Genomic DNA, 11,625 nt, shown 5'->3' with positions numbered 1-11,625 from the left:
GGCGGGACCTGGACCCAGACTTTTTCTTCTCTAAATTTGAAATCACGTGACTTTCATACCAGCAATGAGGTTACACTGAATTTCTATAGTTCATCTCTTTTGAGAGGCCTTAAAGATTCAAAAATATATTTCAATTCTCAAATATATTTTATAAATCTTCATACTGTCTCTGTTTATTGGGGAAAGCCATATCTCCACATTTTATAGATCAAAAAAAAGTAGAGCAAGAAATAGGATTTGATTAACGTTAGGCTCATGCACGCATACAAACAGCACAAAAAGAGCTCTTGTTGGTATTGCTTTACCTACTTTCCAACCTTCGTGGGGCCTCTTTTGGGGGCTTTGTAATGGGATTTTCAGTGCAACATGCAAGGTCCTATCTTCTCATCTACATTCTTCGGGTTTTGTGTACTAATCCAGCTTCAATGGGTGATTGAAACCTTCAGTGAAACAAAGTAAGAACTACACATTTGTAAGACTCAATTCTCTCTGCCACTGTGCAAACGAGCACTTGTCAAAGAGCAAACAAATATCTACAAAATGGCTTGAAGAACAAATATCAGGAAAAACTTGAAATAACTAAGCAGCAATTTTCTGCATATTAAAAATCTTGGTAGGGCGTGGTGGCTCACACCTCTAATCCCAGCACTCTGGGAGGCCTAGGTGGGCGGATTGCTAGAGCTCACAAGTTTGAGACCAGCCTGGACATCATGGTGAAACACCATCTCTACAAAAAATACAAAAAACAATTAGTCAGGCGTGGTGGCGTGCCACTGTAGTCTCAGCTGCTTGGGAGGCTGAGGTGGGAAGATTGCTTGAGCCCACGGAGGCTGAGGCTGTAGTGAGCCATGATCACACTACTGCACTCCAGCCTGGACAACAGAGTGAGACCTTGTGTCAAAAAATAATCTCTTCCAAAGGCCTCAGTTATTGTTATTTTTTTACTACTATTACTACAGCTATAATTTATGAAATACCAGGCACTTTACTAAGTATTTTGTTTATGCTATCTCAGTCCACACAACCTCCTCAATTAGGTATTTTTTAATCACCATTTTACAAATAAGGGAACAGAAAATACAGAGGTTAAATAGCCTGCCCAGGCTAACTCAGATCATGAATAGCAGAGCACAGTCCAAAGCCATTTGCACGTGACTTCAGCCATTAAACCCCCAGCTGACTCTCTCAGGAGTGTTTTCTGAGGTTATAATGCCAATGTGATTATGCCCCAATTTAATATTTTCAACAATGATTTACAATCCACTTATTATGTGAAAGATACTTCTTCTGGGTAACATAAAGCAAACTAAAATGCTCAAGCCATGAAGCTGGACCTAAGAAGCTTATGCACTTATAAAGGATGTGTGACATACACACAGATGTTCATGACAGAGGCATGGAGTTAAAATGTCATGGGAGGTCAGAGGAAGGAGAAACCACTTCTCATGGGAGAAATTGAGCTTGATACACATAAACACAGGACAATACCAATGGAGAAAAGTCACCTCACCTGAGAAGGATTAATTACACAGCAATAAAGAAAAGCTGAAGAATGCACCCGCCTCTGGAGTGCCTCATTGTAGTCATTATTCTCCTTGACAGACACAGATAACACTGATGACCATTGCATGCAGACATGCACTCTGACTTGTTTCCCCAATAGAAGTGGCAGGTAAGCATGGATTCTTACCCACTCTTGCACAGCTCCTCTTTGTACAGAATGACATGCTTCCTGAAGTATGAAAAGGTGTGATCTTTGTCAAGCTTTTTTAACAACTGATATTCCCAACGACCACCTGTGCTAGGTGGAGGGCTTGAATGGGGGACACTTACTGCCTACAAGGAATTCACGGTCCACCTGCAAGGCCCACAGATGGATCAATTGCATCACAAATAATAGATGTCAGCTTATTGCCTGCCAACTTGACATTAACATTTAAATAGGTTCTCCTAACACGCAAACCTTTTGGAACACATCTTTTAGTATCTAATGGGAGGTCACAAGCAGCTGTAGAAAGGAGAACATGAATGAAAACTTACAATGGAAAAATAACACAAAAACAACTTACAAACATGATTCCCATCAGCAATGGAGATATATAGTTTTAGCTATATGGATTTTGTGATGAAAATTATTTCTGGTCAGGCATGGTGGCTCATGCCTATAATTTCAGCAATTTGGGAGGCTGAAGCAGGAGGATCGCTTGAGCTCAGGAGTTCAAGACCAGCCTAGGTGATGTAGGGAGACCCTGTCTCTATACAACGTTAAAAATTAGCCAAGTGTGATGGCACATGTCTGTAGTCCCGGCCACTTGGGAGGCTGAGGCAGGAGGATTGCTTGAGCCTGGGAGGTTGAAGCTGCAGCGAGCTGTGATTGCACCACTGTACCTCAGCCTGGACGATAGAGTGAGACCCAGTCTCAAGAAAGAAAAAAAATGATTTCCATGGTATGGTGATATGGTTTTTTAAAATTGATAATAAAATAATTACATTTAAGTAATCAATTAAATAACAACAATTATTTGAAGAGATTTAAGCATGGAGTGGCCTGGGGCAAGCAACTAGAAAGGAAGGAGAGAATTCATCATAGAAATGTGGTGTAGGAAGACTACCTAAAATCGTAGAAAATATTGGCTGGGCGCGGTGGCTCATGCCTGTAATCCCAGCACTTTGGGAGGCTGAGGCAGGTGTATCACCTGAGGCCAGGAGTCCGAGACCAGCCTGGCCAACATGGTGAAACTCTGTCTCTACTAAAAATACAAAAATTAGCCAGTGTGGTGGCGGCTGCCTGTTATCCCAGCTACTCAGGAGGCTGAGGCAGGAGAATCGCTTAACCCAGGAGGTGGAGGTTGCAGTGAGCCGAGATCACGTCACTGCACTCCAGCCTGGGTGACAGGGTGAGACTCTGTCTCAAAAAAAAAAAAAAAGAAAGAAAATATGGTAAATAAAAGAGGGTTGGGGAAAAAGATAAATTACTAGTATTGTAGAAAAAAATGTAGTCTTTGGAGCCAGATAGGCCTAGATTAAACCTTGGTGCATCCATTTATTAGCTACATGGCCTCTACTATTAAGCCTCAGTTTGCTCATCTGTAAAACGGGACACTATATTTACCCAGCAAGCTCCTTGTGAGGACAAGATACCTTGTTTAGTAAGCACCTAGCATAGGATGTGGCCTAGAGTAAACAATCATTCATGTTACAAATGTTACTGAGTGCCTAGGGGTTGCAAATACAGTAAAGAACTGAACAAAAATGGTCCCTGCTCTCATGGAGTTTACAGTCTAGCAAAGGATAAAGGGTTGTTTTAATTATTGTAGTTAACTAAGCAGCAAAACACAGCATTACAACACATAATCAGAGCATAAAAGGCCAGTCTTATAAATGGTGTAATAGCTACAACTAGTGCTTTCTCATGCAAACTCAACAGGTCAACCAGAGTCCTAGCAAATGAGCTAGTGAATACTTTAGAAACAGGTCACTCCACAAGTTGTTGGTCTAAAATTCTGGGTATGTTCGTCTCACTAGGCAGGCAGACATTCCAGTATTTGATAAAAGGAGGAATACAGATGAATTCCGTTACGTGAGCCAGCTGTATCAGTAAAAATAGTATGAGAGCTGGTACCACGAAATGGAAACATCTGGCTCTGGAGAAAAGGCTAAAGGAAGTGTGGTGCAGAGTGAAGTGAACAAAGCCTAAACGAGAGGGCTAGATTCTGGTCCTAGGGCAGCCCCTCAGTAGCCGTGTGACTCAGAAGAGACCCTTAGTTAGCCTTTCTCCAGGCCTGTTCTCTGACTGTGAAACTGAGTGAGCCCTGAAATCTCATCCACTTCTGCCATTCTAAGATTCCATAGGCACAAAAATGGAGGAATAGTTCAAGTTAGTTCGCATAGCAACAAGATTTGCTTCAACAAACTATTGGAGCATCTAGTAAAATAAAAGACTAGATCGTTCCTTAGCATCATTTTGGAAGGTAGGATTTCTGAACACTGGCCATCACTTGGGGACCTGTGCCTTCACAATCAACTACTTGATGTTCTGATCACGTTGGTTTCCAAATACCGACTGGAGTAATGACTAGCATTTCCAACTATTTCCAGCTCTCTACCTTCTGGGCAGAATCGTTCTTTCTGGGTCATTTGTAGTTTGCTACAGTCATGTGACTAGTTCTGGCCAATGAGTTGGGAGTAACGGGAGTATCTATCATGTCTAGGCAAGCACATTTAAGTATCACTGTGAGATTCTTCACAAGTCTCCTTCCCTTTGGCATGGTGGCTCGTAACGTTCGGGTGCTGGCTGTTTGTCACCATTGGTTCCTGAGTGACTAGAGTGACCAAAGCTCCCTGCTATTCCAAAATGGACAGATGAAGTGAATATGAAATAAATCTTTGTGTTTTAAGCCCTTGGGACTTGGAGGCTATTTCGTTACTGAAGCAGAATCCAACCTATCCTTACAAATACATTGCTTCCTATGAATGCTTTGCTAACTTAATAGCTTTTTGAAATACAGACTGGAACTATGTACTAAACTGCTTTTTATTGTTTTAAATATGATTTTCTTCCACCTGACTTGACACCACTGCATTGCCTGATTTGACACTACTACAAAGGATACAGACACCGTTCACATCATGACTCTGAAAATGCCATTCATATGGAATGCAGTATGACTGGCAACACGGCAGTCTGGATTTGCAACAGTATAGGTGAAATATAATCATTCCACTTAGCATTTCTACTTTATTCCTTTTCAAGTTAACAGACAAAATCCTTTTTATTTCAAAGTATTTTATAGTTTTTAGAAGGTCTTGCATTCAAAAGAGATTACGTCATTTGTAAAATATTCAAAACCCTATAAGGCATACAGTATTAGCTCCATTTTACAACAGGGATCTGAAAGTCACACAGCTTAAGGGACTGCATGAGGTTGCCAGTTAGTAAGTGGCAAAGCAGGGACTCTTGTTTCCTGGCTCCACATTTGGTGCTAATTCAACTATGCCACATTTCCTTCAGCATCTTTACTCTCAACAGAAGTTTTTTGTTTGTTTGTTTCTGTCTATCCTAATCATATTTTCCTGAAGTGGGGGAGCACTGTAGCAACCAGTTGCTCATCATTATTTGTTTTATGCAACCCAGTTGTTCAAAAGAAAGTGCTGCTGGCAGAAACCCTGGGCTCCCAGGGCAGTGGAGTTGCTCTTACCGGTGGGTCAAGAAGAAAATGCCATCCTCCAGGCTGGATAAGCTGAAGGCCGGCTATCTGGTCAGCTCTGAGCTCCTGGCATCCTGCCTTTGTTATCAGTCCAGGCCTTGACGTTGGAGAGGCTGACAACCTGTGCTACACATTATCTCACACTCTGAAGTAGCCCACCCATGAATTGTGGGGACAGTGAGCAGCATTTAGGGCAATGACCCTACAGGTACTTCCTGACTCCTTTCCCTCTTCCCTCACTGTCATCTTCTTTTTTCCTTCCCTCTGCTTCTCCTTTTGCCCCTTCTGATAAATCTTTGGTTGGGTGGATTGCCTCCTTTCCTAAATTGGCTCTAAGTGAATGAAATCTTTCTATTTTCTGGGTTGCTTCTCAGATATTAGTAAATATCTGAGATCTCGGTTGAGCTGGGGTAAAAGGACTGAAAGACCTGGTCGGAAAACCTTCATCATCAAGGCTCCTTCTGAGGTGATAAAGAAGCCTTCTTCTTTCTCTTCCCAATGAATACAGTACACCCAGATTGTCAAACACTTTGGAAATCACCTGTATAGCCCCCGAGTTTCCAAAGCTCTCCCATGAATCTATGCGGTGATGCTCACGCCAATCTATGGAGGCAATGTGTCCTCTGGGGGCCCTAAGCTTGTCCCTCATTTCATCACAGAAGGCACTCCAGCCAAACATAGAAGAAGGGCCTTGTCTGCTTCTCTAGGATGTACCACTGGGACTCCAGCTCCCACGGAGTCTCCATCCTCGTCTCCCCTGAAATCTGCATGCTGACCCCCATTTCTCTCCAAGCAGATCTGATGCAGTTGATTCGCTTTGTGAACTTTCTTCAACCTCAGAGGGTCTGGTGCTGAGTTCCCACACAGAGAAAGAGTAAGCTTTCAAGGTGTTCTCTAGGGAATCATCTATTTCACCCCTCTCAAGGGCTCAAGGGATCCATTCAAGGCAGGAAAAACGAGTCTGTTAGAGAGGGAAGAAGAGAAGCTGCCTAGAGGCTTGCATAGCACATTGTCCTGCTTCTTCTGTTCTTTCACCCCAAGGCTTTCAAAGCTAGAGTTAGGTTTTAAGGTCCCTAGCAGTAGTGACCACAGATAGGCTTGCAGACTCTTGGCATAAGGGGCCTTGTAGTTCCAGGTCTCTATCTCCAACACACCTGAGAAGGTAAACCATCACTTTCAGGCACCATAGACATCCCCTTCAGTGCTTTTTCACACATGCCATTTCACTTAGGTTTATGGGACTATTTGATCAGTGTCTCTCTCCTCCATTAGACTAAGCTACATAAAGTCAGAGACTGTACAGTTTTCCTTCACCTGGCAAAGAGTAGGCATTCAATAAATATTTGCTCAATGGGTGAATTAATCTTCTTTGCTGACACAGCATGAGGGAATAAGCTTAAGCTATGGCAAGAAGGATTAGCTCAGAGCTAGCTCTGGAGCTGGACTGCCTGGTATTAAATCCTGGTTTTGCAATTTGCTTCCTATGAGACCTTAGGCAAATATCTTTCTCCTGCCTCATTTATAGTTCGAAATGGCAATAATAGTAGTACCTACTCCCTGATTGTTTTGAGGAGTGAATGAGATAGTACACAGAAAACACTTAAGGCTGGTACGGTGGTTCACACCTGTAATTCCAGCACTTTGGGAGGCCAAGGCAAGTAGGTCGCTTGAGCCCAGGGGTTTGAGACCAGCCTGGGCAACATAATGAAACTGTCTCTACAAAAACAAAACAAAACAAAACCACACACTTAAAACAGTCTCTGGCAAATATAAATGCTCAATAAATATTAGGTAACTACAGTTTGCTTGCAGATTGTGGGTAACCAAGGGAGAAGTTTTAATTTTGTCTTTTGTAAAATAGAGGAAAGGTTCTATGCCTTACACTTATCCTAGGAGGCAACTTTGAGAGTTAAGACAAAAATAATTTTCTAACTGCAGTATAACTGTTAAGAAAAGTTTTGGCTATGCCTAGAGATAGTGACCTTATAACTAGAGACAATGAGCTTGTTGAAGGAATCAGGACATAAACCATGGAGACCTTTGGCAGTGGAGAACTGATCTTAAAGCATGTAGGACCAAAAGATATTAAGTGGACATCCCAATAGCAGTCTATTTTAGTGAGGAAAAAACTCCAGAGGTCTAGCATGTCACACTTGAGTCAGTTCATGGACTCAGAGCCTGTCCAAAGAAGAAGAGTTCAGGTGAAATACAACGGTTGGAAGAGGACAAACTTTGCAGCCAGAATGCCTAAGCTTCAATCCCAGGTAATTCATGACTTGCCATATAACTTGGGCAAGTTACTTAACCTCTCTGGGTTCCAGCTTATCTGTAACATGGGAATCATAATAGGACACCAGTTTTCCAGCGTTATTACAAGGGATGAATGTATAATAGTACATGGTAACACTGTGTATGTGTTAGGTATAATTAAAATGATTGAAAATTGTCACCTCTAGCCATGGAAAAGTGGCTATCCATTTTTCTTAAAAGGGAGATAATCTGAAATAAGAGCCTCTATAAAATAATAGAAAGTTGTCAATATTTTCACTCCTTAGTCAAGGACCTAGAAAGGCCAAAATTGTAAGGGTGGTGGCATGGATATTCAAGGAAGAGGTGTAAGGAGAAATCCTTCTGAAGGGGCGCAGAGTGTGTGAGTGCCACCATAAGGCCCCATAGGGAGCTGGAGCTTAGCACTCAGATCGACCAGATGACCCTCACTAGGATGTCATTCCGCCTCCTTCTTTGCTTTCCAAAAACCTACTGTACTAGGAGCAATTCTGCCTGCTGAGCTTAATCAGACAAGATTCATTAGTGCTTCCAATGAAGAGGTCCAACTAATAATGCAGACTCCCGAGACCCAGTAAGCTAGAAGATCTGGGGAGAGGGCCCAGTAAGCTTGATTTCTGGAAGCATCCCAAGTGATTTTTACACATCCTGAAATTTGAGAACACTGCCATTGTTGGACTCTGAGACCCCTTGCAACTCTGACAGTCTCTGATTCTGTGGTTGTCTGGTTGGATAAACTCCTGAGATCATCCCATGTTGTCAGATCCAATGGACACAGTTTCCAGAGGCTGAAGCCATCCCTCAGATGTGGAGATGACAGGACAGCAGATACCCCAGAGCCCTCGTCCCATCCCTCTCCCCATGCCCATACACACTCCCATCTGGCATAGGTGTATCACCTGGGTCTGGGGTCAAGGGAGCTGGCACCCTCTCTCCTGGTAAAAGTAACCTTTCCTTTTCCAGGAGCCCTAACTACCTCGTAGAGGGAAAAATATCATAACATCTCACTGCCCTTCACGAGCATGTGAATTTCCAGCAAAAGATAAGCATGGTATTACTGAATATGTGATTTGGGTCTCCCATTTAAAACAAGAGGCAACAACTTCCCTTCCTTCCCAGAATGGGACGGAGAAATAAATTATGACCTAAAACATCCAAGTTGTTTCTAGAATCACCATCAGCATTTATAGTAAGAGAGCAAAATATTTGTACCTCCCTGTGATGGCAGCACATTGGCAGGCTTCCTTCTGGCTATGAAAATGTGCTTGCTTGGATTTGCTGAGTGCTCCCAGGCAACCCTGGACATGGTCGTGGCCCCCTGGTGTAGAGGAGTCAGGCCACAGGCTAGCAGGAGCTGGATAGAGCACTCTGAAGGCCTATTTGTGGGGAACATCAGCAGCTGTGCGGAAATGGAGGTGAGCAGAGAGGAGGGGAAATCTTTCTCAGGCAGAGCAGCAGATGGGGGAGTGGGAGCCTCCTCCTGCCTCCACCACGACAAAACCTTATCTCTGGTTTCCCTGCCTCAGCTCTCCGACATGCCATTCTCACCAGTCTTCCTAAAATACCACTTTCATTATGTTAATTCCCCTCTGCTTTATTTTCCATTTTTTAGAGATGGGGTCTCCCTCTGTCACCCAGACTAGAGTACAGTCACCCTATCACAGCTCACTGCAGCCTTGATCTCCTGGGCACAAGAGATCCTCCCATCCCTTGCACTAGCTGGCACAACAGGTGCAAGCCACCATGCTTGACTAAGTTTTCTACTTTTTAGAGAGATAGGGTCTTGCTATGTTGCCCAGGTCAGTGTCAATCTTCTGGCCTCAAGCTATCCTCCTGCCCCAGCCTCCCAAAGCATTGGGATTACAGGCGTGAGCTACCACATCTGGCCTTAATTCTCATGAGAGCTCCACAGCTGTCTTCACCTAAAGTATAGCATCGGTTCAAAATTCCTCAGTTTGTTCAAAGCCTACCACAGCCTGCCTCAACTTGACTTCCCAAATTTGGCTCACAAAATTCCCACAAACAGTCTCACATGCTTGCCAACCTTCTGCTCAAGCAACAACAGCCCCTCCCTCTCTTCCCAGTGTGTTTCCCGTCTACTCCTCACCAGGCTTCTGCAGCTGTGATTTCTCCTTCCTGCTACCCAGCTCTACCCCCTCTGCCCAGGCCCCTCCTCTCCACCTATGCAAAAGCTTCATTGCTCTGCCTGGACAATCCACCAATACAGATTTCTGCTCCTCTGTGTCCAGCCTTGACTGGCTGGCTGGGTGGAAAGAGACACAGTCTGGAGTCAGAGAACATGCGTTCGAACCCAGCTCTGCCGGCTACTAGCTGTGTGGTTTGAGGCACATCATCATCCTCTCTGAATGTCAGTAGCTCTACAACCTGGCACACCATTCCAGGGACTGGGAATAATGCATATAAAGTGTCTACCATGATGCACGGCACACAGTAGGTGCTCAGCAAGTGGTAGCTAGCAGTGCCAGTCATACCCACTACCTGGAATTCTTAAATCTCTTCATCTGTGTAGGGACTGACTCCCCAGTTTGACTCTTGGTATTTCACTGTGTCCTCCCTTCCCTATAGTATTTTGCTCACTTCTCCTTCTTAGAAGGGGCTCACAAGATATTTTCTGGGGTCTCTAGGTGTTTGTGCTACAAGTTCACTAGATTTTCTTAAGTAGAAAAATGGATAGTGATGAGGCCTGAGACCTGCTTTGTACTCAGTTGACAAGCCAGCTTCACAGAGTTCACAGACGAATCCGAATAACAGCCTTAGGATGAAGTCAGTGTGCACATCTGCAAGGGGAACCCCCGGAGAGTTTCAGTCCTGATCCGAAAGCCAAAGCTTTCTCCACCGAGCTGCCTGAGAACACCAGCAGCTTGCTAAAGAAACCACTTGGTTGTCAAAACATATCCCAGCTTCTCCTGTCAGAGGGTGTCAGCCAACATCTTGGAGAATGGCAGAGAAGCAAGCTCTTGGGAGTTCAGTGCTGATAAATGACTTGTAAATGTCACGTAGGCCCAAGGGATGAATGCCAGTGTAGATGGAAGTTACCTCTCTTTCAAAGCAATGGAAAAATTGTGAAACCTCCAGCTTTCTTGTATAAGCTCATGGGCCGTATTTTTAAACTTATCAACAGTAAAAATGACTATAAATCTACTTACCCTTATCCTACCACAATAATAATACCTCCCCTGCACTGGAAACAATTTTCTATGCCTTTTTCTGTCCTCAAGACCCATAATCTCATTACTCCCTTTACTCCATCCAGGTAAACCTCCTCTCTGTTCTGATTGACTCAGCCAGTCCACTAACAAGTGTTTATCACGTTCCCCTGCATGTGCGGAACCTGGTAGGCAACTAAGAAAGTCTACAGAAGAAAATGTGGCCTCTGTCCACAAGGAGCCACTTACAATCTAGTGGTTTTGTCAGATCTGCACCATCCCAAAACCAACTTCTAGTGACTTTCTTTCATCTAGTAATGAGTTAGTCAACAAGTACTTATTACGCACCACTGTGTGCCTGGAATACACAGGGTGAATGAGCCAGGCAAGGTCCTGGTTCTCATGGAGCTTGCATCTTAGTAGGAGGATGAGGCAATATGCAAGTAAATAAAGAATACAAATTCAGAGAACAGTAAGTGCTATGAAGAAAGTAGGGTAATGAGATAGGGGGTGATGGGGTTGCAGGACGTGGAGGCCAGAGAAAGTCTTTCTGAAGAGGTGGCATCAACAGCCTGTCAAAAGTGGTGAGATAGAAGAGAAGAGACAAACTCCCTTCAGGAGAGGGCCTGCCCATAGACCCTGCAGAAACTCAAAGGACATGGGGATGAACACAGGGCTCCTGCCTCTGAAACTTTCTGTGTCTCTGGGTCAAGGGCTATACTTTATTCACAGCACCTGATACATAGTAGATGGTGAATGATGAATGATACTGATGAGTAGCATTACTCACAATTTTCTATATACCAAGCAATGTCCTTGCCGTGCACTATTCCTTTAATTCTCATCACCACCGTGTGAGGAAGGTGCTATCATCCCTACGTGACAGATACAAACAGATATTCACAGAAAAGGAGAAGCAGAGCCTGGATTCAAATCCAAGCACTGTATTTCCAAACCACCTGGTC

The 11,625-nt window shown here is 43.8% G+C and overlaps 1 annotated feature.

Annotated features, from left to right (window-relative positions):
* Nucleotides 10,188–10,337: an enhancer, noted in NCBI's record as "active region_5840". NCBI's record gives its function as "activates an Ori minimal core promoter by ATAC-STARR-seq in GM12878 lymphoblastoid cells {active_cell/tissue: GM12878}" and the evidence as "EXISTENCE:reporter gene assay evidence [ECO:0000049][PMID:35858748]".

Source organism: Homo sapiens, chromosome 12 (assembly GCF_000001405.40).
Source record: "Homo sapiens chromosome 12, GRCh38.p14 Primary Assembly".
Lineage (NCBI taxonomy): Eukaryota > Metazoa > Chordata > Mammalia > Primates > Hominidae > Homo > Homo sapiens.
Note: the sequence above shows the minus strand (reverse complement) of the source record. Positions and strands in the feature narration are given on the sequence as shown.